This window comes from Homo sapiens, chromosome 5 (genome assembly GCF_000001405.40).
Source record: "Homo sapiens chromosome 5, GRCh38.p14 Primary Assembly".
Lineage (NCBI taxonomy): Eukaryota > Metazoa > Chordata > Mammalia > Primates > Hominidae > Homo > Homo sapiens.
In genome coordinates, this window is record NC_000005.10 from 77131268 (window position 1) to 77158298 (window position 27031).

General features: G+C 40.5%; 1 protein-coding gene, 1 long non-coding RNA gene and 1 pseudogene across 8 annotated transcripts in view, besides 1 other annotated feature; all 3 read left to right on the forward strand.

Annotated features, from left to right (window-relative positions):
* ZBED3-AS1 (ZBED3 antisense RNA 1) overlaps positions 1-18034 on the forward strand; it is a 62587-nt gene extending 44553 nt beyond the window's left edge. For 4 of the 6 annotated variants that reach the window (NR_182763.1, NR_024398.2, NR_182771.1 and 1 more), the window contains one exon: positions 16385-18034. This is a non-coding gene — a long non-coding RNA (ZBED3 antisense RNA 1). Of the gene's footprint in view, positions 1-7993; positions 11013-16384 lie in introns of those variants that run through there. The other 2 variants (NR_182770.1, NR_182766.1) reach the window with 2 other exon arrangements.
* The window catches only part of PDE8B (phosphodiesterase 8B), a 341542-nt gene that overhangs the window by 44553 nt on the left and 269958 nt on the right, over positions 1-27031 (forward strand). The window lies entirely within an intron of this gene.
* Positions 13297-13591: an enhancer, noted in NCBI's record as "tiled region #15273; HepG2 Activating non-DNase unmatched - State 12:CtcfO, and K562 Activating DNase unmatched - State 12:CtcfO". NCBI's record gives its function as "activates a minimal TATA promoter and a strong SV40 promoter by Sharpr-MPRA in HepG2 and K562 cells {active_cell/tissue: HepG2 | K562}" and the evidence as "EXISTENCE:reporter gene assay evidence [ECO:0000049][PMID:27701403]".
* HMGB1P35 (high mobility group box 1 pseudogene 35) lies at positions 15301-15890 on the forward strand (annotated as a pseudogene).

Sequence of the window (27031 nt, forward strand, 5' to 3'; positions counted from 1 at the left end):
TGTGTATCATCATAATTTGTCTTCAATGACCTTTCTTTTTGTGTCATTCACCACCACCTGTTCCTCAAAACACCACCATGTGAACCCCAAGCCCAATGGCTCAGGCTTGCCCTCTTTCCACCCACGTTCCAGGATGGATTTTTCCAGGAACAGGACTAATGACTCTTAACTTTTCTTCTACCATCTAGAGATGGATTATAAGGTAGCAACCCAAGAAAGTGGGTTTGGACATTCAAATACTTGAGTTTAAGTCCAGATGTGCAAACTTGGGCAAAGCCATTTAACCTCATTCATCAACTTGTCAAATAGGAAAGATAATACTTACCCGGGATGAATTCCAGTTTTGGTGAGCTTGACATTTTCACTATTTGCTGGAGCCTTCTTTAAGCAAAAGAATAAAAATTTATGATATGAATTGGGTACAAAATTGTGCGTTTATTTAGAAACAATTCTCTTGTTCACATAAGGGGAAATATGATGCATTAGGAGTTGAAGTGATCTTAACAAAAGGCTTTTTTTGGGTATAATTTACAAAATTATACAACCATGTAAACTTATTGATAGGGCCCCTTTCCAGAGTTAGAAAGGGGTCCATTCAACAAACAGTCCTGCAACTTAGAATTCATTAACAGCAAGGTAAATTTGCTTCTGTATCAAACTCACAGAGTTGTAAGAATTGAATCACAAGATTAAATATATGCAAATGTGTTTTGTAATCATCAAACACGGTGCATAATTATTTTGATGCCTACAACTAAGCAAAAATATTTGTACCTAGAACAAAGCAAAAATATTTATTCAATAAATGATAAAATAGATGAAATTTGCTCTCACCAAAGTAGTATACAAGCTAATTGTATTACATTTCCCTAGGCCTGAAAAAATTTATCAGAGTAATATATGTACATATTTTTACACAACAGTCCAATATTGATAAAAGATTTGCAACCAAATAGAACAAGCCCATGTCCCACCCCTCATATTTTCTAATTCCACTTTCCAGACTCAATACATTTCCTCCATATTGCTAACTAATATGTGCTATATTGTTTTTCCTGATTTATCAACCTTGAATATTGTCTGGTGACTCTCTATTATGGCATTATTCACTTTCTTCTTCCCATTCTCTCAATATAGTTATAGGACAGTTCTTCTTATAATATGAAATATTGTTTATGGCTGAACAAAATAGTGGGCTATGATTTTACGTCCTTCTACATACCTCTAAATAATTGTGTTATTTTTCATTTGCTTAGTTTTCCATTTTACCTATACTTGGGTTTTCCCACTGTCTACAATAGCATTTTATGTATCTTTCCACTCAGTCAAATTCCCCACGCTGCAGAGAGCCATGGAGCCCTCCATCCCTCTGCTCCAGACTAGTCTTGCTGTCTTCTGTGCAACAATATGGAACTTCATGTGCTATCATGCTGGAAATTTCCATCATCTCTCTCCTAAACTGGATTTCCTATGTTTTCTATCTTCCTCTGTTTTGGTTGCGTCTTTTTGGTGGTTCTTATTCTCTAGTAGCTTCTAAGGAAAGGTCTATGGGAGGTACATTAACTGAGACTCTACATGTGCATATCTCAAAATATCTTTATTCTAGCCTTATAATTAACTGATAGTTTAGACGGATATGGAATTCTAGGTTTAAAACAATTTCACTCAGAATTTGGAAGGCATTTCATTGTCTTCTAGCTTCTGATATTGCTCTAGAGAAGTTCTGCCATTCTCATTCACAATCCTTTGTATCTGATGACTTTTCCTCTTTGGAGATGACCTATGATTCCACAATAACATGTGGTAGGTTAGATTATTATTCAAAATATTCACTTTTCTCCCTCACCCTGACTTACTTTGGCTAGTGGGATATTAGCAAGTATGTTGCAAGTAGGGGCTTGAAAAACACTTGTGTGGTTGGGCTTGTTTTCTTAGGCTTATGCCATCAGAAGCACAGAACAAACAGGCTGATGACTAGCCCACTGGTTCTAGAAGGAGGATGAGTAACACATGGAGCAAAGCCAAACCCTCCTGGCCAAGCTCAGCCTGAATCAGCAGAGCTGCACAGTGGAGCCCAGCTTGGATCTGCCAACACTCAGCTGATTCATAGATCAATGACAATAAACGACTGTTATTTTAAGCCACTGAATTTTTGGATGTTTGTCATATAACATTTTGTGGCAATAGCTTTTGGTATCAGAAATTAGTATCTAATTGGTATTAGAAATTGATATTTGTAGTGAGGTATAGGCACAAGAAAACAAAAAAATAAGTGGCATTGGTTTGGAGGCTGGATGATGGGCACAAGAAAACTGTTATAGGAGGCTGGAAAGAAAATGGTAATCTGTGTTTTGCAGGGATGAGACATTTTCTAAAACTGTCACCTTTGGTAACTTGGAAGTTAGCATATGTACCTAAAAATATTTGGATTTGTGCTGAGAAGTCTTCATGCACAATGATAAAAGTGTGAGCTAGTTGTATTTAGCTGCATATAATAGGTACTAGAGATGAGTTCAGAAAAGAACCAGCCAGGTTTCAAGGAACATGTAGGTGGAATGCAGGGAGCCCAAGAATTCTGGGACTTGCTGAGTTGGAAAATAAACTTTTGCATCTCCAATATAGTTGGCAAGTCAGCTATATTGGGCCTTCTGTCCTGGAAGGTTCCACAGTTCATCCTCACAGGGTTAGATACCTCTCCTGGCTTTAGATTTGCCTTTCCTTGCCACAGAGCTTCAGCAAGCCCCACTACCTGGGGCCGATCTGTAGTCATGGAAGCACACACAGCATAATATTGACCAGAGGATCACTTCATCGCAAAGGAGGCTTGGGAATAGGACAATGACCATGGGATCCACTGGTCATATCAGATACTGTATCACCTAGATGGAGCCAGCCTCATAAAGCATTGGAATGGTTACTAAAGGCACAGCTGGAGCTCCAGCTGGAGGCAATGCTCTGAAAGAACAGGGTACCATCCTGCAGGATGCACTGTATACATTAAACTGGGGTTCTCCATGTGGTGCTATGTCCTCAACAGGAAGAATACATGGGTCTGAGAACCAAGAAGTGGAAGCAGGAGTGGACCCACTTATCATTTCCAATGACCTCCTGGGGAACTTTGTGCTTCTTGTCTCTACAACTCTGGGCTCTATGAGATTAGAGGTTTTGGTCCTCAAATGAGGTGCAGCTTGGCAGGAGACACAGCAAGTGTCCCATTGAACTATATACTATGGCTGCCACCAGGGCATTTTGGACTCTTTCTATGAAGAGACCAGCAGGTGAAAAGAAGAAATCATTGACTTCCATCAGCAGAAAGAGGTGAGGCTGCCTGTACACAATGGGACAGGGAGGAAGGAATGTGTATGGATCCCAGGTGATCCCTGTGGTCAAGTTTTTCTGTAGTCTTGCCCAATCTGTGATGTGACTGCCAACAGCTAAGACCTTCTGGAATAAAGATAATGAAGATAATAAAGAGGGGGAGGGGAATTTAGATTGGATAGTGCAGGTAGGAGAAGATGACTATGGGTTGCGATCTCAAGACAACTGGCGGCACTAGGGGCTATAGTTCCTCCCATTAACTTCTCTCTTCTAAGTATTTCCTCAAGAAGAGGGCCCACAGGAGCCATGGGGAACTGGATCTATGGAGGAAAAGAAATGGACTGTGGCAGTCCTGGAGGTACACTGCTTAGATGTCCCTTTAAGATAGTCGGCCATGGAAAGCATAGCTGAGTGACAGCTACGTAGAGGCCATACTTCCCTTCGACTGCTCCCAGCTGATCACTGAATAAGATGAGGACAGTAGAGCCACTTGTGCCTACCTGATGTGAGGCTACTCTAATGAACAGCCTTTGCCTCAGACACTAACACTCCTTTGTTCTGGCTGGACACAGTGTCACAGTTTCTCAGAACTGTGCTGCAGCCTGAAGCTTTTCCTAGGCAGGACTTTCTTTCCTCTCTTCTTTCCCAGGTAGCAGACCTGCATTATATTCTTCTGCTCTGCATTCCTTTATCCTTCACAGGCATTTCTCCCAATAAATCTCTTGACTACCTAATCTCATCTTGACATCTAAGAGGATCCAAAATGACATAAATGCCACAGCATTTCTAATTGAAATAATAATATGACTTAGTATGGTTTGAATTCATTGTGCTGGACACTTGGGAGACCCTTTCAGTTGAGGGACTCAAGACTTTCAGCCAGAGGAATTTTTTTTTTTTTTTTTTTTTTTGAGACGGAGTCTCGCTGTGGCCCAGGCTGGAGTGCAGTGGCACGATCTCGGCTCATTGCAGCCTCCGCCTCCAGAGTTCAAGCAGTTCTCCTGCCTCAGTCTCCTGAGTAGCTGGGATTACAGGCACGCGCCACCATGCCCAGCTAATTTTTGTATTTTTAGTAGAGATGGGATTTCACCATGTTGGTTGGGCTGGTCTCGAGCTCCTGACCTCGTGATCCACCCGCCTCGGCCTCCCAAAGTGTTGGGATTACAGGCATGAGCCACCGTGCCTGGCTGGAATTTTTTTTTTTTTAATAGAGACAGGATCTTGCTATATTGAAAAGGCTGGTCTTGAACTTCTGGCCTGCAACGGTCCCTCACCCACACCTCAGCTGCTCAAAGTGCTGGGATAACAGGCATGAGCATTGGCAAATTTGAGGTGCCTGGCCTCAAAATTCTCTTTCTGGAACTCCTATTAGTTGGATGTTGACCCCCAGGATCAAGCTTCTAATTTTCCTATCTTTTTTCCTCTATTGCCCACATCTTTGTCTTTCAGTTCTGTTTTCTAAAAGACTTCCTCAACTTTATCATTCAACTTTTCTAGCAACTTTTAAAACTTCAGCTTTCTTACTCTTAATTTCCAAGAGCTCTTTCTTATTTTCCAGTTACTTGTTTTCTATATTATTCTGTTTTCCTTTCATGAATGCACTTTCTCTTCTTATCTAAGGATGTTATTTCTAGTTTTGTCTTTGAAGTGTTTATTTATTCCCTACCTTGTCTCTACTTCCTCTAAGTAGCCTTTTCTGTTTTGTTTTTGTTTTGTTTTGTTTGGTTTGACTTTTGTGTCTGTCTTTCATGTAAGGAAACTTTTTCAAATGTCTACTGATTTTTGACTATCTGTTCTTATTTGAGAGTGAAGCACTAGCCAGCTAAATGACAAGTCTGTGGGCTTGGGAGGGTTTTAAAAGCACTTATCTAAACATCTAGTAATACAGGTCCAAGGACATTTATGAAGAAAAGGAGACTGAATATTTAAAATAGGTACCATCCTTGGAAATTTTGAGTCTGGGGGTGACCTCTCCTCAGCCTCCTCTTGTCCTGAAAACTGTCACCCTCCTTGGTTCCACTGCAGTGTGTATGGCAGTAAGGTGGCTTTGTCAATGGGAGAAACTCAGATGTCAATATCTGTTAGAATTCTCTCTGGAGAATTGATGTCTGGAGAGAAGAATCTTCCGGTCTCCCTCTTGAAGGGTATAAGCCTAGCTGCTGGCATTTTTGCAGCTGAGATGAGGAGAACATTTGCATCATTCAATATTTTTACTCTGGATTCTAACCCCCATCATATACTAGAAACTTCTGGTTCAGTTTTTCCTCCAAAAATATTTGTAAGGAAGGGTTTTCATCACTTTTTTTGGGCTATGGGTGAGGACTATATGTTTATTAAATAGATTTTGAACAAATCTCTCTATTTTTATCAGTTGCCTCACCCCAACTAGTGCTCAAAGCCTGGGCACTAGTTTGAGAGTTCGTACAGGACAAAATCAGTTTGCTTCTTGGTGATTTCATTCTCTGCAGGTTCTTACATTTCACCTTTCTCTATTCCGCTAAGGCCAGAGTCCTCTAGTTGCTTTTTGTCATCATGTATTGTGATGTGCGCTTCTGTTTCTCATCTTTTTGCTGACAGGGGAAAGGAGAGATAAGGTCTTTTCTCCATCATCTTAAGCTGAAAGTCTTCCAGGTTATTTTCATGTTAAAAGAGAGCATGCCTAATTCATAGCTAGCTTGTGCAGAACACCCCAGGAGAGACTGGCCTAGCAGGGCTGGGAGGACCCACAGGGGTGAACAAATGCAGCTGGATTGAAAGACAAGAGCAGAAAGCATGATTGAGCTGGGAAAGAGCTCTTTTCCAAATGGCCTATTCAAAAATGGGATGGGAACTGCAAGTGGGTTGAGGTGCACTCAGTCAACTAGAGAAGAAGAAACAGATATGAGATGCTCTGGCCAAGGCAGAGTCAAGGTGGACGCAGTTTATTTGAACTCCTGTCCAAGCTATTCTAGTGGCCATGTCAGATCCGCCTTGATGCCATCTGTTCTCAGTGTCTTCACGCAAAGTAAGAAGCACAAGCAGTGGAATTCCAGTGTCAGCAAGTGGCCCTCTGTGTACCCTGCAGAAAAAGGCTCCCTACGGAAACATAAAGTCACACCTTTGCTCCAGCTAAGAGCTCCACTTTGCCCTCATATTTTGTGGATCTTGTCCAACTTGAGCATTTTTCACCTGAAGGATTAAAATAGGGTGTGGTTTATGTGGGGGTAAAATGGCTACAGATTGATCATCATTAAAGCCAAGGAGAGACTTTTTTTCATTAAAGCAAAGGGGAGACTTCAAAGTCTGAGAAAGGCAAGGAGGACACCAAATCTACAGACTAACCATAGCAAAAGCACAGACATGCTGCCCACCCAGAAGCACTGGAAATAAGCATGGTTGCCAAGGTAGCTGGAAAGACCCTTTCTATTAGGTTGGTACAAAAGTAATTGCGGTTTTTGCTATTAAAAGTAATACTTAAAAAAAGTAATAACTTCCCTACTCCCCTTGGACTTCCCATGATAATAGTGACACAATTTTTAAAACTATTTATCTGAACATCTAGTAATACAAGTCCAAGGGCATTTATGAGGAGAAGGAGACAAGTGAATATTTGAAATAGATATTGTCCTTGGAAATTTGGAGTCCGGGGGGTGGCTTCTCTTCAGCCCCCTCCCATCCTGAAGCCACATGGATGGTTTCTTGTCCCCACCCTTCCCTACACCTTCCCTCTGGCCCTGCTTTTAGGTCTTAAATGGATTAAATTTTTGGGACAGGTGACACTTTTCCCTCTTGTCCCTCAGGGTGGTTTTTCTGTTGTTTTTGTTTTTGCTTTCTCCCATAGCTTGTATATTTCAAGTATAAAAATTATGTGAGGATGATCCGCCTGGAAGCCCTTTCCAGAGCTGAGTATTTCCAGAACAGAAGTAAGCAGGCTTCTTTCATTCTAAAGTCTACTGTGATTTTTAACAGGGTTTCCTTATTTCCTATCAGTTTGTTTATCAAAGACTCCAGCATGGAGTTTATTTAGGAAAAACAAATGACTTTTTAGGTTCCACTACTTGGCTGAGAGGAATTCATGTTTTAGGAAGCCCCAGATGGGAAAGCCTTGTTGTTTTCTTCTTTGAAATGATCTGCATTTTCAATTTTTTTCTACTTGCTTTTATTTCCCACAATCCAGACTCGCCTTTTCTACTTTGCCTATCCAACGATCTAAAACACTATGTAAAGATACAGATAAGTCTTGTTGATTCTTTTAAACATTAGCCATAATCCAAAAAAGAAAAAAGTCTTAGGACTATAGTCCTAACAGCACAAATTTTAACCCTGACCAAAGCAATTTCTATTTTAATTTAGGTTATTTGAGCTGAATTTGCAGGGCGAAGTGGTCATGGGTAAAACTAACCATTAGTTACCTCAAGCTTGCAACAATGGCAAAGAAATGTCAAGCCATTAATTAAAATGACTCCCACGGCCCCTCCTGGAATCAAGTCGTTCCCAGTTAGTCAACATCTGTCACAATCTGTGTAAAAGGGCAGAACACGCTATACCCCAGCACATTAAGTTAGAACACAGAGGTCTTGGGTCACTGCCAGAGTAACTTGTCTGTGGCATGATGGTTGCTAAGCGAAACAGAGCATTCTCTGCAGGGAGCCCCCCTGGACTGAGGCTCCTTCTCTTCCCCTTTATTTCTTGCTAGGCCAGCAGGAGCCAGGCCGTGGCCTGCTGACTGCATCTGCCAGATGACTACCAATGTGTGAGTAAACCCATTCTCAAGCCCAAGAGAACCTCTCAGCTGAACCAGGCCCAAGTTGCTCACCCACTGAACTGCCAGTTAAATAAATGGTGGTTGTTTTAATCCACTAAATGCTGGGATGGTTTGTTATACAGCAGTAGGTATCAATACAGTGTACTTGTCAATCTAGGAATTCCTGTCTTGTCAAATCTGAGAAAATTCTCGGTCACTGTCACTTCAAATATTACTTCTTTCCCATTTTCTATTCACTCATTCCAAAACTCCTAGTGGATGTCTTTTCTGTCATTTCTGGTTCTGTCTTTTGTGATCTTAAACTTTCATTCATTGTTTTTCCATTTTTACTTCCGTGTTACATTTTGAGTCATTTCCTTAGTTCCAGTTTGCTTATTTTCTATTCAACCATTAAATATTTCTATTTAGTTTTAAGTTTCAGTGGCTATAAGTTTCATTTATAAAAGAACTATTTGGTTATTTTCTAAATCTGCATTTTGTTTTCACATGTTTTTCTGTTTTTTAATTTGTATTTTCCTTTGCCCTTGTAAATCATTTAAAATGTACTTATTTTATAATCATCTGTGGCTTGATCTGTTTCTTTACTTCTTGGGCATTACTTTTTCTGTTAATTTCATGATCTGACCCTCAAGGTGGTTTCCTCCTATGGTTTGTAATTTTTATTATGAGCTTATTTTCAGCAGGGATTTCTCCCCTCTGGTGAAGATCTGTATGCCTTGGGTAATGTGATTGTCACTTCACTATGCCTGCAAGTTTGCTTCTGATGGCATCCTACCGATATCACCAACTCTCAACCAGCTCTAATGTTTCTTGGTATTTCTGCCCACAGTGAAAATTCAGAGCTCACTTCAATGCATGGCATGGGCTTGGCTTCAAGTTTTTCTGTATGACCTTTTTTTAAATTTATTTTTATTTTTTTAAACCTATAGCCCAAGGACACGGGAGCTTTTTTTCCTGATTTGTTTTTGCCAACACTGTAGCCCTCAGGAACTCAGATTTTGCAAAGTGCTCAATTCCAGTTGCCTTCCTTACTCACACCAGAGACAATATTTTATTGGCCTGCAAGGGTGTTAAAATCCCAAGGGTGTTAAAATCCCCAGATCTCCAGGGCCTATCATTGGTCCAAACCCTGCAGAGGCTACAGTGACATTAGCCCCTACTTACTGCCCAGCCTCTGAGCTCCCTCTTTGTTTCTAGAATCTGGGGATTTCCCTTTCTCTCTGTCTAGAGATTGTTGTGCTGGACCCCTATTGACTCCAATAGGAATGGCACCAGGTTCAAGAGGCCAAAGAAGAGACCTGGAGCCAGCAAATGAGACATAAGATTTGATTTGGGGGAACTTATGTACAGGGATGGACTAGTGGCAGTGGGCTGGATAAGAGAACCACAACTGCTTTCCAAAAGCCTGCAGTTTATACAGCACCTTCACTCAGCACCCTCTCTCCAGCAACATCCACATGGCAACCCCCATTTCCTAGGCTAAGTTATTGCTGTCAGATGTGTTTGCCATACAGGCTGCTGTACAGAGTATGCTTAAGTTATTGCTGTCAGGTACATCCACCGTATATATACATACACATGTACGTATATATACACATACATGTATGTGTGTGTGTACATATTTGTACTCATATACATGTGTATATATAGATATATAAAAAAATTTTCTCTGTGTTTCCCTGTAACAGTAACTGAAGAGGGAATTCTTCTATATAATCTCAGTCCACTATATTGCTAGAAGTTCTCTTCTCTATACTTTTGAGATATGAATTTTACCTTTCAATATTCTAAAATTATAACAAAGCTATAAATTTTGGGAATTGGTATATGTTTGTTTTTAGAAAAATTGTTAGAAACATAATAGCAATGGGATGCTTTAACATGCTACCTTGAACCTTTACCAAATCAAGAGAGTAAAAATTAAGCACAAAAGAGGGATCTAATACTATAAACAAGGTAGATTTAATACATATGTATCAAACATAGTAACCTAGAAGCAATGAATATACATTTTCTGGTGCTCATTTAACATTAACGACCTTCAAGAAGGCTTTAAACAGCAACAGATAGAGTTGAGTTGCTTTGGCCTATTGCTAAAGGCATCTAACCCACCTGCTTTGTGGGAGGTCATCTGCTTTGAATCTCAACTGTATCCAAGTCAGATTTAAACTCTATGGGGCATTGGAATTGTCCTCTGAATCATCTCCAACTCTGCAGGATACATAATAGCACCACTTTGTTGTTCTGGAATTTAAAGACAGGGTCTTATTCAACTTTGGCTATTTTTGTGCAGTCCATGGATCCTTGAAACAGGACATTCTACTTTACCAATATCTGACTCATAGAAGACCTATCTATATACCTACCAGGTGGCTACTACCCAGTAACTCCTACCGCCAATACCATGACATTTGTTTTGAAAACCTTAGCTTATTGCAATATTGCTTATAATTATGAAACCTTAGAAACAACTGAAATGCCTATCAAAGAGAGAATTTATAAATAAAATGTAACATATTCACGTTCTATTTTGATATGAATTACCATAATATTCTATTAGGATATGAATTGTTATAATGGCCATTAGAAGGAATGGATTGTTCCCATATATAACATAATATATCCATGTATAAAGTATCTATATAATACCAACACGTAACATAATGTAAAGAAAAGAGATTCATGGAATAAAATGTGCATGTCATTGATATAAATTTTAAAAACACAGAAATAATACATTATATTAAGACTATATATGTATGTAAAATTATTACCAGTGGACTGATTTGGATATACACTAAATTCATGCTACTTGCTTCTGGAGGTTGCAGTAAAGAACTGGAACTGTGTCTGGGGATGTCACTTTTATCTGTTTTATTTAGTTCATTTTTTATAAACAATCCTTGAGGCAAATATGAGCTGTTAATAAATGCCAATTAGTCTTTTTGCATATTGGTTGCATTTCTCTTTTTTACAACTTTATTGAGTATAATTGATGTACACTAAACTGCACTTATTTAAAGTACACAATGTGATAAGTTTTGACAAGTGTACGTACCCATGGAATCTTTACCACAATCAACATTTGTTTCCTCCCACAGTTTTCTCAGGCCCTTTTGTAATCCATTTTTTGCTTAAACAATTTGTTTTCTATCACTATAGATTAGTTTTATATAAATGGCATCCTACAGTATGTACTCTTCTGGTGGCAGGGGGTTGTCTATCTGCCTTAATTCAGTAATTTCTCAAGATAAAAACAATTTTAAAAATCTTGGAACTGCTGAAAACAATCTGGGGCATATAATCTGTGATTCAGAAAGGGGGAAAGGAGGGAATCTGTGGAAAGCAGGTACCATTTGGGATAGATTCCCAAGCAGGAAGAATAAGCACACTTATTATAATGGCTTCCACATTCCCCAAATTATTCCCTTCATGTAATCTTTTTTTTTTTTTAATTTTGTGGCAGTGCCTGAAACTGCACAGATGAGAGTCTTTTGGATAAGTAAGCTACTCATTTAAAAACAGACGCTTTGCTCAGAATTTACTCAATGGCAGCTGGTTCAAGGAAAGCTTGTCATCCTAACCCTCTCCCAAACTTAGCTTCATTAAGGAAATGTGTGTTTGGATCATAAGAGAGAGGAGCTAAGATGTATTGAGGCATGGAGAGTTGGGGACTGTGGGAAGATCTGAGTGAGGCAGCACCCTAGGAGACTTCGGGGAACCCTAGGATATCGGGAACCAGAACCCAAGGAGGTGGGGAGGGCCAGAAAAGAATGTGAGAAGACACCCAAAGTTAATAGCCATCCCTTTCCTAATGTTCCCTATGTGCGGCTCCCTGATGAGAAACTGGAGGAAGAGATTCCCATCATCTTGCGTCTTCTATTCTCAACATCGGAGAACTCCTGTTCTTGAAATTCAACCTGATATCATTATTGCTCTGTGGATTAAACTGGCTCTTGTTTGCTAGGCTCAGAGTCCAAATACAAGATATAACATTGTTTTTATGGAAAAATGTGCCCAAATACCAAATAATTGATCTACAAAGAAAGTTTTGAAATGTAACCTGTTATACGCCAGGGATTTCTTACATGTGTAGATCTTTGTAACAATGAGCTATGTTATAATGGAAATATTTTCACAGATATAATTCTTAATCTATAGCCAATATCAGTCATTAAAACATACTGTTCAGTCTTGGGGCCCATAAGTGGAAGATGTTATGGAGAAATTGGAAAGGAGCCAGGGGAGACAAAGTAACTGATGAAAGGTTTTGAAAAATAGCCCTTTAGGGAAATGTCTACATTCATTCAGAGGAGAGAGGTGTATCAGTCTTCAAACTATAAAACGATGTTACATTATTGACATCAAGTCTTTTTTCTTCTTGTCCACAGAGGGCAATATTAGAGGAAATGAGTTTAAACAGCAGCAGAGGGGATTTAGGCTAGTCAGATGTCCCCAGCTTGAAGATGAGAGGTGCATTCTCAAGCTCCCAAGCCTCAATCTCATAAGGGAGTGGTCCTTCTTGAGGGATTTTTTTTTTTTTTTTTTTTTTTTAGCGCTCTGATCAGTGGCAGTCCAAGTTCACACAGCCCTGGTCTGCTTGAAGTTGTTTGCATACATCAGTATTTGGGAAACTAAGTTCGGTCCAAGAACAGAAAATGTTTCCTGGCTACATGGAGGGTAAAGCAAACGTGAAGTTGCCTCATACGAGAAGAATCCAGACATGAGAAATCTCAGCCTTTGGTCCATTATTTTGTAAATCTGCTCAAAAGAGCATGGATTCACAAGAGAAGTGTCCAGGAGGAGGGTAGTGTCAGCCCCACTGCTCTGTGGGGCAGTAGGACCACATCTCAGGCACTGGGTCCAGGTCTTGGCAGTCAGGATGTCTCCAGGGGCTGTTGAGAAATTGGAGTGCCTCCAGAGGGGAGCAATGGGGACAGAAGAATCTGGAAACTGGGTCAAAGAAGGAGCAGTTGAATGAACAACGTGTGTTGGCCTGAAGAAGATAAGTTGCAGCGGGGACAAGAAGCTGTTTTCAAAGTTTTCAAAGATTTGAAGTGCTGTCAGGTGGAAGAGCAGTGAAAATTGCGTGGCTCCAAACGGTAAATACAGGACCAATGAGTACGAGTCATAGGGACGGTGTCCGCTGAAAAGAAGGAAGCATTTTATAATCATTAAAGATGTTCAAAGTAGGTGGTGATACTTGGTTATATAGGAAATGTTTGTATGAAGACTAGATATATATAAAAATGTTGGAGGAAGAATTTTTGAGCTTTTTTTTTTTGTCTCACCAAGCAAATGAAACTTTTTGGAGAGAGATGACCTAGCAAAAGATTTTTTCTCTTGGTGATCAGGAAAGGCAGTCTTTGCAGACCGAACCACTAGAGGGAGTCAGGGCAGCAGCGTTGCAAGGCCGCCGTCCATTCTCTTCACCGAAGCAGCAACTGATAGCCAGGCCTGGCTCTCAGGTTCTAAGTTCCCCTGATTTCAATATCACCCCCATGAATCTTTCTGGAATGTTTACATCTGATTAAATTCTTCAATGTCTGAGAGGCCTCTGTGTGTAGAGAGGCACAATCACTGCTATTTGTAGTCTGCTTACATCTTTATTAATTATTTAATAAACAGTATTCTCCTAAAAATTCAAATACTCCCTAAACGACTAAAAATGAAAACTTATGCATTTAACAAATGTGACATTTTCCAAATATCTAAATATTAGTTTATAAACTAATTGATTATCCTAAATATATGTAATATATAGTGTATAATATATATATACTTCTAAAATCACAAATATCCTATATCTAAGTCTTTTAAATGCTACAAATGCCTTAAAAGCAGAAACACACAAATGAATCATCACAATGATACATATACAAAGTGATGAAATATAGCTAAAAAGATTTCCAAGCAAAGTGTTGAAGGTACCACCTGGTTTCTTCTTGGTGCTTATAGTAAAATGCAAGAGGAGAGTGATAAATCGAGGGAAGAACTGTTAAACAAAAAGGAATCAAAGATGATTCTGAAAATTCTCAGTCTCTCCAGATGGCAAAAGATGTTAAAATTAAGAAATCACTTTTGAGCTTGTGGCATAGAGATAAGTCCTGGCCTAGAGAAAAAGCTAAGTAGTGATTGTACAAGCTTTTGTTAAAATCTCAGGAAGATTAAGGGATCAGAGTAGTATTCAGTCATACAAAGGGCCCTCTCCAGAGATTAATGGTGTATCTCACAGAACCTCTCAAATAATAGGACCTTTTGGAAGCTTAATTGAGTTATCTTTCAACCATCTCAGCAGGAACTCAAGGTAGAAGGGGGCCTAGCTCAAAAAGAACCTTGGATGTGGCCTTTATGTAAAGGGAAATTTACTGGAGACCCACAAAGTATTTAAGAAAAGTATTTCAGCAAAAACACTGCCAACTTAAACTGAAAGGGACGGAAAGAGTACAAAATGAAAGGAGGCTGTTAGATCTCCAAAATTCTACTGGCAGGAAGCAGAATGATAAAACTACTCAGCTGCAAACATGTGCTACTTTTCATGAAAAAAGGAAAGATGACTCAGAGGGTGGAACCAAGAGCTATGGTGAATTATTCCCAGCCCTTGAAATCTAATCAAAGAATTCTGACTGAAGTTTGCTAGGCTGGGTTTTAAAACTGCTTTGGACTGTAACTCCTTTTTATCTTCCATTGCCCACCTCTCCTTCTCTTTTTAACTAGAAATGTCTATAACTATTTTACTATATTCATTCCTTCATTGTGCATTAGGAGCAAGACGATTTGTCTTTAGTTTTATAGATTGAGAGGAACTACGCTCAAGGAGCCTCATGCATACCTGGACCTGATTTAAATGATGAGATGCTGGACTTCAAGCAGATGCTGTAATGATATGAGGTTCTCAGGGACCTTGGGAAATAGTAAATGTATTTTGTGTGTGAGAGGGACACAAATCATTGGAGGCCAAAAGGGTGAACTGAGGACAGATGCTAGGGTAGCTCCCACAATCCCCACCTCCTGGTTTCACCCTTGTGGGATCTCGCCATGAGTGTGGATGGAACCTGTGATTTGCTTCTAACTAGTAGAATTTGGCAAAAAATGATGAGATATATGTGATTATGTTTACATGATTATATTATATAAGATTCTGAGTACATTGAGCTGCATAGAGAGAGCACGGGGGCAAGTGAGAGCCAGGTGGGTACTGGAAAGCTCTGTGCCTCACTGAGGAAAAATAACTAAACATGGGCAAAAGAGATCCATGGAACCTGAGAGGCAAGGTGTTATTATATGCATTCTTTGGCAAACTTGTCAGGAGGCGCATAAGAAGAAGCACCCAGATGGTTCAGTCAACTTCTCAGTTTTCTAGGAAGTGCTCAGAGAGGTGCAAGACCATGTCTGCTAAAGAGAAAGGGAAATTTGAAGACATGGCAAAGGCGAACAAGGCTCGTTATGAAAGACAGATGAAAACCTATATCCCTCCTAAAGATCCCCTTTAGGACGAAAAAGTAGTTCAAGGATCCCAATGCACCCAAGAGGCATTCTTTGGCTGTTTTCTTGTTCTGTTCTGAGTATTGCCCGAAAATCAAAGGAGAACATCCTGGCCTATCCATTGGTGAGTTGTAAAGAAATTGGAAGAGATGTGGAAGGGCACTGCCTCAGATGATAAGCAGCCTTATGAAAAGAAGGCTGTGAAGCTGAAGGAAAAATATGAAAAGGATATTGCCTCATACTGAGCTAAAGGAAAGCCTGATGCAGCAAAAAAGGGAGTTGTCACGGCTAAAAAAAGCAAAAAAAGGAAGAAGAGGAAGATGAAGATGATGATGATGATGATAATGAGTAAGTTGGTTCTAGCACAGTTTTTTTTCTTGTCTAGAAAGCATTTAAACCCCCTGTTTACAACTCCTTTTAAAGAAAGACATTGAGATGTAAGGCTGTGTAACATTTGTTTTTAAACTGCACAGTGTCTTTTTTGTATAGTTAACACACTACTGAATGTGGCTTTAGATAGCCCTGTCCTGGTGTATTTTCAATGGGCACTAACCTTGCCTGATACAGTATGGGGGTTGTAAACTGGCAAGGAAATTTAAAGCAGGTTCTTCTTAGTGCACAGCACAAATTAGTTATACATGGGGATGGTAGATTTTTTATTTTCACTTGTCTCTGATGCAGCTTATATGAAATAATTGTTGTTTTGTTAACTGAATACCACTCTGTAATTGCAAAAAAAAAAGTGGCAGCTGTTTTGTTGACATTCTGAATTCTGAATGCTTCTAAGTAAATACAATTTTTTTATTAGTAAAAAAATGTTCTAATCCATCTTTCCAGGAGATTCTCTCTCCCTTGCTGTCTTTGAAAAAGCAAGTTGCCATGTGAAGAGGGCCATATAGCATAGGAGCTGAAGGCAGCCTCCAACTGACGGCAAGAAAATGAGGTCCTCAGTCTGACAACCTGCAAGAAACTGAATGTTCTAAAAGCCACATGAGCTTGGGAGCAGATCTGACCCCAGCCAAATCTCTGAAGTCCGCAGGCAGGAAATGAAGATCAGAAAAAGGCTATTGTCTCATGAATATGAGCCAGACTCCACAGAAGCTGGAGTCCTTCATTATGGAGCTAAACACATACACCTGGCTTAGGAGTCAGAAAAACTGAAAGAGAATTCAGGGAAGTAGAGAAATTGCAAGCCCAGATGCTGCTTCATACCAAAGAAGCAAGTCAGCAGGTCAGCAACAATGTGTATCAGTTCCAAAATGACTTACACAGGTACCAAGACAAGACATTATATACACTTATATAGTCAAATACTTTAAAACTGTTAACAAACTTGCTACAATTGTCTCATTTGTCTTTTAACCTTAATATCACAGATCAAGTTTGTAATCTCAAAAGTTCACCCTGGCTGCTGTGTGGAGTATTCTCTTATCTGCTCATATTACACTGTGCTTATTCATTCATCAGTTAATGGAAATTTGGGTTGTTTCCTGATTTTGACTGTAATGAATAATGTTGCTGTAAACATTCATGTACAGTTTTGTGTGGACATGCTTTTCTTTCTCTTGGGTAGGTTCCTATGAGTGGAATCACTAGATTGTATGGTAAATGTATGTTTAACTTTTAAAGAAACTGTCAAACTGTTTTCTAACATGAACGGGCCATTTTACGTTCTTATCAACAATATATGATGGTTTCAATTTTCCCACATCCTCACCAACATTTGGTATTGTCTCTCTTTTACATCATAACTATTTTAGTGGGGATGTAGTGATATCTTATCGTGGTTTTAATTTGTGTCTCCCTAATGACTAATGATATTGTGCATCTTTGCATATGCTTGTTAGCCATTTATGTACATTCTTTAGTGAAATGGCTATTCAAATCTTCTGCCCATTTAAAAATCGAGTTGTTTTTCTTATTATTCAGTTGTAAGAGTTTTTTCTTTATTCTGTGCAAAAGTCCTTTATCAAGTCTAGGATTTTTGAATATTTTCTCAACCTAGAGCTTGTTTTTCAACATTTTTTTCTTAATGATCTTTTGAAGTGCAAAAGTTTGATTTTGATGAAGTCTAATGTATCACTTCTTCCTTTAACTGTCATGATTTTTGTGTCGTATCTAAGAACTCTTTACCCAACTCAAAGTTACCAAGGTATTTTCTTCCAGAAGTTTTGCAGTTTTAACTCTTCTATATAGGCCTGTGATCCATTTTTAATTCATTTTTTGCATATGATGTGAGAGAAGGGCCTAAGTTCATATTCGTACATGTGGATGTACAATGGTTCCAGGATCACTTGCTGAGAAAAGACTATCCTTTCCCCATTGATTTTTTTGGCACCTGTGTCAAAAATCAATTGACCATAAATGCAAGCGTTTATATCTGAACTCTCAGTTCTTCTCCATTCATCTCTAAGGATATGTCTATGCTTACATCAATATCACAGTGTATTCATGTGGCTTTGTAGTAAATTTTGAAATTGGGTGATAGAAGTCTTTCAATTTTGTTCTTAGTTTTCAGAATAGTTTTGGCTGTACTTTGCATTTTGATACAAATTTTAGGATGTATGTGTGAAGTTTTACAAAAATGCTTGCTGGAGTTTTGATAGGAATTGTGTTGAACCTATAGATCTATTTGAGGGGGGAATTGCCATCTTGACAAGCTTGAGTCTTCCAATCCATGGACAGGGAATGTCTCCATTTATTTAAATCTTCATTAATTTTTCTTAGTAACGTTTCACAATTTTTAGCGTACAAGTCTTAAACTTTTATTACATTTATTTCTGTTTATTCTTTTTGAGGCTTTGTGAATAGAATTTTTTTAATTTTATTTTTTGGGCTTGACATTGCTGATATATACAAATACAATAGATTTTTAAAATACTGATCTTAGATCCTGCAGCTTTGCTAAATTCTTCGATTAGTTCTAGATATTTTGTGTATAGATTCCTTGGTGTTTTCTATACGCAAGATTATGCCATCTGCAAATAGAAGCAGTTTTAATTCTTCCTTTACTCTCAGTCTGCTTTTAATGAGCTATTATGTCTTCTGTTCTGTATTGGTCAAACCCTCACCTGGATCACAGTATTTATTACTGACCATCACAGTTTCCTTGAGGAAATGAAAAAAATTAAAAAGATAAAGTAACTATTACCATAATCCCTACATTCGGACACAATATTTATGAGCATGTGGGGTAAATTCTTCCAGACACTCTTGCTAGAGGACGTGTAGCAGAGCTTATGATGCACTGAGCCACATCCTCCAGCCACCAGATTCCAGTGTAGCTGTGGTGAACTTTGCCTTGCACTTTACCAGTGTCCATATAAGCTCATATCACAGTGTCTTTCTGTTTTGCTTTCTGGAGGTCAGGGAAGCCTGCTGAGCTATATGTAGACCCAACCCATATTTTCAAGGTAATACTCCTTAGTTGATAGAAGCCCTCAGTCGATGGGAACAGGATTTCATGGATTAATGCCCCAGCTCCCCCATCCTGCAGGACATAGAATGTGTGACTATCCAAGATGCTTGCAACATGGTTTCTCAGAGTTCCCAATGGAATTGAATCCCAGCTGCATACAACTGTAACCCACTCATTTATTAACTTTTCTCCCTTCCTCTTTCCCTTCACTTCTGTTTCCTAAGACTACTTCCCTCTAAATGATCTGCACCCAAGTCCTTGTCTCAAGGTCTTCTAGAGAAACCCAAACTAAGGCAGTTTGTCAAGGGACAAACTAGGGTACATCTTTGAAACAGTCATTAGGAGAGTGAGAGGTCCTGCAACGATGTAATATAAAAGCAGTGAAAATAGCTGAGAAAATTAGAAAAAGAGAAAACTTACAGGAATAATCATAGTCATCTTTAAATACCTGCAAAGTAATCAGATATAAGAGGACCAAAGGAGACACTGGTTTTAACTGAGCACCTTCCAGGTTATATACTAGCTACTATGAAGTGTATTTATTCCATCCTTACAGCAACCCAGAGGCAATGAGAACTACCCTTATTTTTCAAATAAGAAAACTGAGACACAGATGATTAAGGAATTTGCCAAGGTCCAAAGCTAACAGGTATTGGAACTAGGATTCAAATCCAAGCCTGTCTGCCCCCTAACCTGTGTCTTGCTGCTGTGTGTTTTGCTTTGAAGGGCAAAACAGAGACCAGCAGGTAGACATTCTAAATCCATAGAATTGTGTTTATATGAATGCAGTGTGTGGCAGAGATTGTCTAGATGTTCATCAATGCTGTTTTCTCTGTTCTGTTTCTGGACATACAGGAACACTTCATGTCCTAGCCTCCTTTATAAGTAGATTGGGGCCATGTAACAGGGTTCTGGCAAATGGGAATGTGCAGATGTGATATGTGATGCTCCTGATTCATTCATTCTGTCTCTTTCTCTCTCTCCCTCTCAGCTAGCTGAAAGCAGAGAACCCAGCAGAGGATTCTGGGAAGGTCCTGGGGGATGGCAGAGCCAGCAGAGAGAGGGTATGGATCCACCAGGCATAGGATGGAACAGAGCACTATTGACCACAGTGAACTGGGGCATGGGCAATCAATAAACACATATTAGATTAAGCTATTGAGACTCAGGGATTTTTATACAACTGACATTCCCTAAGAAGCCATGATCTTCCTGTCTCAGGAGGTGCATAAGCAGTGGTTGAATGTTCAACAGTCAAGAATGTTATAAAAAGAGGTTCTTGGGAGAGTGGACCTGATGGCCAGCAAAAATCATAGCTCACATTTATTGAGTTATTATGGCTCAGGCATGTGCACATATTCTTTTATTTAAATCTACAATATGCTTTATCATGCTCATTTTATACATGAGGAACACAAGGCATGGAGAGGTTAGATAACATGCCTAAGATCATGAAGCAAGCAAGGGGGAGAAAAGATACCCTTCTCACTCCTTCCAGACAGCTCACTTCACCACCACTCCCCACTGTCTCTAAAGCAAAAGTTATTTGAAGGCTTAGGGACTGGTTTGGTATTATCCATGCAGGGCGGTTTGTTTTGTTTTTCTTTTAAAATTTCAGCCTATGCTTAAAAGATTTCATGTAAAAATTCTGTTTTCTAGTTTCTCTTGAAAATTAAGAAGATCTGGTAAAACTGGGCTTGAAGACCATTATGGTAACAGGCTGCTGAAGCTGAGGAGAGGGCCCCTTCAGATGGGCATAAGCACTGCTCCCCCTCCCCAACCCCCCTTTTAGGTTACTATCAGACTCTGGAAGCTTCTGAATGTGTGAACCCTGAAAGAGTCCATCTAAAGCTAAGTTCTCCCCAGGGGTAGAGCCCAATGCTGGGCATACAGTAGGGACTCAATGGATATTTATCAAATGAATGAATACAGGTGGAATTCAGATCCGTTTGGCCTCTCTTTTCTGTGACTGGGGACCACTGAACCTGAGTCACTAAGTGATAACTCACAACACAAATTTTCTTCTTGTTCCAAGCAGCCAGGACCCAGGTTCTAGGTATCTAAAAATGCTGTGCCTGACTTGAGTTCGCAATGACATTTTTTATCAACTGAAAATGTTTACTTCTGTGCAACCAGCCAAAGCTGGGGGTAAGCAGCCCAGTGGGGTGCGCTGATTCTATCTTAGATTACGCTGTGCACAATGGACTCTTTGTAAAGTCCTTATGGCGGGGAGTGGCCAGGCAGGCATCTCCTGCACCCAGCTCTGGAGACTCACTTGCCACAAAGCTGAAGAAGGACGGGGCAGTTTTAATATACCTGGCTTAGAAAAGCCACAGACTGTTGGACTTACATGTGGGTGTGTAAGCCCCACACAGAAGCAGCTTTTTCTCCAGCATTGTTAACAAAGCTCATTTAGAGGAATGCAAGTCTGGGGCACGGCCTGGATGGGCAGCATGACGCACACACCACATAAGCTCCAGACGCTCACTGATCCCCTTCACAGAGGCTGAGCCTGCCCACCCAACCCTGCCCTCGCCCTCACCCTCACCTCCGCAGCCGGACCTGGGATAGCACTGCTTTTCTTGAGAGGACTGAGTCTTAGCATTGAGGATGGGAAGGGGAGTGTAAGGGCTCTTCCAGGAGAGAATCTCCTGCTTATTTGCATGGAGGAAGAAGGGAGCCTTTCCCAGTGCCTACACGTCTGAGTCCCAATTGTGAGAGAAAATGAATTGCTTAAAGTTGCAGTTCTCAACCAGAGGTGATTCCCCTCCCAGGGGATATTTGCAACACTTGGAGGGATTTTTCATGGTAATGACTTGGGAGGGGAATAAGGGAGGTGGTGCTATGGGCATCTGGTGAGTGGAGGCCAGGGATGCTGCTGAGCATCCTACAAAGCATAGGACAGCCCCTCATGGCAAAGCATTACTCACCCCAAATGTCAGTGTGCCAAGGTGGAGAAACCCTGACTTAAAGGAGGGCTTTTATTACCTTTTAAGCTTAAGAATTATAAAAGGCAATTTATTGTTTTATAATTTAAAAAAAGGGTTATTTTAAATATGGACAAATATGCTGAACTTCCCAAGTATCACCTTCTTTCATTATTTGTGATAACAGTCTTGGCATATAGCAAGTGCTCAATACCTATTTGTGCAATGAATGAATGTCATACTGTAATAGTGTCTTTTACTTAATTTGTTATAACATGGTCACTTCCTTCATTGAAGCAGTACACAGGTTCTAGGGGGAGGGCTGGGGATAGATATTGGACAGTTTATTTACTTACTTATTTACTTTTCTGCTTCTGGCTTTAGCACGTGGGCCCCTGACTCCAGCTTTACTCTTTTTTTTTTTTTTTTTTTTGAGACGGAGTCTCACTCTGTCACCCAGGCTGGAGTGCAGTGGTATGATCTCAGCTCACTGCAACCTCCGCCTCCCAGATTCAAGTGATTCTCCTGCCTCAGCCTCCGGAGTAGCTGGGATTACAGGTGCCTGCCACCATGCCTGGCTAATTTTTATATTTTTAGTAGAGACGGGGTTTCACCATGTTGGCCAGGCTGGTCTTGAACTCCTGACCTCAAGTGATCCACCTGCCTCAGCCTCCCAAAGTGTTGGGATTACAGGCATGAGCCACCATGCCCGGCCCAGCTGTACTTTTAAAAAAATGTTGTCCGATTTGCTAATAAGCTTGGCCTCTCTCTTTTCTCAATCCTTTTGCTATTGTTTGGGTGGATTTGACTTGATAAATTTCCAACCCATCTGTATAAGAACCACATTTGATATTGATATGGATTGTAGCCATAAAGCTTTTTTTGCTAAGGAAGAAACATTTCATAATTGAAAAACTGAATTGTTACATATATCCCTTGAGTTACAAAACCCTAAAGAATTTCATATTGTTCAAAATGGGAGGCCAAGTGAAATTCTGACTCATTTCTGGTACTTCTTGCCTCTCACCCAAATTGCTGATGGTCCTGTAGCCACATTGACTGCTTTTCTCATATGGCTGATGGTTTCTTTATGGGATTATCACTATCTGAAATGCTATCAGATATTATTAGCTCATTTTCCTGTCTTTCCTTTTCTAGATGTGAGTTCTCTAAGGGCAAATACCTTGTTCTTGCTCATTCACTGCTTTATCCTCATTGCCTAGCATGGCGCTTGGCACAGGGAAGACATTTAATAAATATTTGTTGCATGAATGAATGGCAGGGCAGAGAGGCCAGAGACTGAGTGACCTACCTAAGATCATGCAGAGGCCCGTCAGGAGAATCGGTCATGAAACTGGGAACCAGGTTAAGGTCCTCTGCATTTGGCCTGCCCACATCCCCTGCATATATACTGTGGGGTGGGGATACTAGGCATGCCATCCTTGTACCACAGGAGTTGCCCAGTGAGACTCAGGACTACTAGGATGCAGTATAGCATCATCATCTCCCAGATGGGAGGGCCCACCTTAGAGGTGACCTTGTGACGTGACACATAGGTCAACTAACCCGGTTTTCCTGGGACTGAGGAATTTCCTGGGGTGCAGTACTTTCCATCTGAAAAGGGGAAAGTCCCAGTTAAACTGGGATGAACTGGTCACCCTATGCGACAGAAACATTCAGTAAAAATCTATGGTGCCCTGCAGTGGATTCTTCCTTTGGGAAACTCTGTTAAGTTGTCAAAGAATCATGGACTCTCAGCGGTGGCAGGGAGAGACCTTAGTGATCATTGAGTCTGGATGTTGCAGACTTAAGTGTCTGCGCAAGTGTGAGAAATGGGGACTATGGCAAATTGGGGCATATTTGCCTCTTGTAAAAGGAGGTGGCCTTGGCTCAATGTTGCCCGTGGGAATAACAGCCCATGTGGCCAGATGGGCCTGTTTTCAAGAAAAGCTTGAAATCTCCCTCCCTCTCTCTCCCTCCTCTCTCTCTCTCTTTTTCTCTCTTCTCTCTATGTCTGTGCCCACACATGTTCACCCATGAGTATGTGTGGAGAGAGAGAAAAATGAGAAGGGAGAAATAGAGGGAAATCTGATTTTTAACACTGCAACTACTTTTTAAAATGTAAACACTATGCAATGCAACACAATGTAGCCGCAGGCAGGTCCGCCCCATAGGCCACCAACTGACAGCTGCTGTCGTCTGACATTTCATATAGGCAGATACTAAAACAGAGAGCAGTAAATGCTGAGCTAGGAGTGTAGGATCCAGGCCTCTTGACCAGAGAGCTTTGTTAAAAGACTCATTTCTATAAAGATCAGTTACTACACCCAATTTTCACAATATCCCTTTGAGCAAATTACTTAATCTCTCTGTGTCTGTTTCCTTATGTGCAAAGAATAATAGTGTGTATTTCCTGAGCTTGTGGTAAAGATGAAAGGTATGAATTCGTGTGAAGCGGTTAGAACCATGGAGTAAGCGTGTGTTGGCTGTCATCATCACTGAGGTAGGTGCTGTCATCACCCTCATTTTACATGTAGAGAAACTGATTTCTCAGAGGTTGCCTAACTTGCCGATGATGGTATAGCAATAAATCAGAACGAAGAGTTGAACCCTGGCTGTTTGACTCTGGTATCAGGGGTATTTTTCTCTGTACCTTCTTGCTATACCACTAGGCTGGTGTTATAAATTCAAGATAAGAAAAACAAAAGCCAGGTATTTTTCCCCTGGTAATTATTGTATAGATATATTATCAAGGCCAGAAGTTAAGTCCTGTGTTATTTCTCTCTGCTGTCAGCTAAGTATCATCTGTAATGACGGAAGGGAAAATGTTACATAGATAATAAAAAATGGTGGATAATAAAAATAATTGCTGCTTGGGCATTCATTATGCAATTTGGGGGGCAGCTAATTTATCTTCCTAATTATATTTTGCTTAAGCTGATTTTAAAATTAGTTTGTTTACCCTGAGCACGCACTGATTAACAGCAGAGAGAGGTGGCCCAGAAACATCTTGGGTGGTAGAGGGAAGATATTTTGAGATTCAGGGGAATTTCTGTGGATAATGTTCATGTAGCTATGGGAAGGTAGAAGGCTGATAGGTTGTTGGTGCTCTGAGTGTAATTAACTATTGTGATTTGTTGTTGGGAGAATTTAAATATAAGGCCCTAGATTGCAGACTCAGAGAGGGGAATGAACCCCAAGCTCCTTCTTGTTTATTCTTCAGTGCTGAGGAGAGTTCAGACTGTCAATGTAGGTAGATTGAAAAAGGAGATGGAGAAGGAGAGCTAGCTGGAGGTGACCCCAGGAATTTCCTTTCAATCGATACCCAAGGACGATTAAGTGCCTATTACGTACTGCTGTCTATTACATACTGTGAATTATGCCCAGAGCTGAGGATGCCAAGATGAATAAGGCCATTGTCTTACCCTGTGGAACTCCACAATCTAGTAAGGAACAGGCTTATAAACAGAGAGATCACAGCCCAGTAGAATCAGTGTTATCAAGAAAACAGGATCACAGTGAGAGCAGAGAAGAGAGAAGAGAGGGTGGCTATCACCATAGGGGAGGCAGGAAAGGAAGGAGCTCCACCCCTCACTCTTCCTCTGTTCACCCACTTTCTGGGTAGTTGGGGGAGGCAGGAATGGGGTGGGGAGGTAAGGGATGGGGTGTAGAAACCCCTTCAGGTTCAGTGTCAGCTGGCTGCTGGCTGTTTCAGCCAGTGGGAGGTGCTGGGACAGGCTGGAGGATGGGAGAAGAGGAAAGTCAGGGTAGCTCTCCCCTTTCTCTGCCTGGAGTGGCATCTTCAAAATCTTAAAAGCATATGGTCTCTCCCATGAGTCCATTTCCCACTAGACAGGTCCACTGGGGTCCAGCTTCAGCAGGGTGATCATGGCTTCTGAGCTCTGGTGACTTTCTTTAATCGCCCCTCCAGCCTCTGGGTGGTAACAGTTTTTTACTGGTGCTAAAAAACTGTCTCACTGTCTCCTGGTTGGTGACTCCATGTTTTCATCCTCTGGAAAATCAATCCCATGCATTAAATTCACTCTATTTAAATATAGTGGGTGGCTCTGATGGGTATGAAAGGCTTCCCAGGGTAACTCATACTTGAACTGTTTTTTAAAGAATAAAAAGATATTTGCTAGGTTGAGACACAGGAAGACTGTGTCTGAAACATACTTGGAGGTGTGAAACACCGGAGTGTGGGGACCCAGAAGGGACAGACATCCCAGCAGGTGAGAGCCACTAAAACATTAGAAAGGAAATACATTGTTCAGGTATTTTAGAAAACTCATTTGGCCAGCTCTGCTCTGTATAGATTAGCAAAGAAAACATGAGGGTGGCTGTGAAGACTAGTTAAGAGACAATCACAACGATTCAGGCTATAAGTCATGAGGCGAACTATATATGCACATAGAGGCGTGATGGATAAATGTGGATAGAGGACACACTCTAGCTATTATTCTCTTAACTATATCCAAGGAGAAAATATCTTATTTTCCTGGCATACAATAGGTGCTTAATAAATGCTTGCTGAATGAATTAGTAATATTCTACTAGCTTAATTTGTGTTATGAAACCTCAGTTCCCCACATGTCTTTCCCTTAACCAAAACTCTGACCTGTCCCATGGAGTCTGTTGCCTAAGGTCACCAGGTTTCTGCCTCCCTGTTTAGGACAGCATGGGGTCCTCCCACGGGTGCTCTGGCTTCCCAGCCCTGCTCTAGAGCATCCCTCTCTCTAGTTACTGACTGCCCCTCCTCCATCAGAGCCATTCAATCAGACGGTATTTACAGACACTTACATACTAATAGCTGGCACTGTGTGGGACACTTGCCACTCATTTATCTCGATCCTTGCAACCACCCAGTGAAGGGGCTACCTTTATCCTCATTTTAGAGACAAAGAAGACAGATAGAGGCAGATAACTTGTCCTGGGTCATGCAGCTAGTAAGTGGCAGAGCTGGAACTCATACCCAGGTGTATGACTCTCAAGCCCAGGTTCTGAGCCACTAGGCTAGATTGCCTGGTACTGGGTGCTGTATGTAGCTGGAGATATAAAGAAATGGAAGACAACGTGTGGGGAGAGAAAGTGTGAATGCACAAAGAATTAACTCTGATGCTAAAAATATGTAGTGATTCA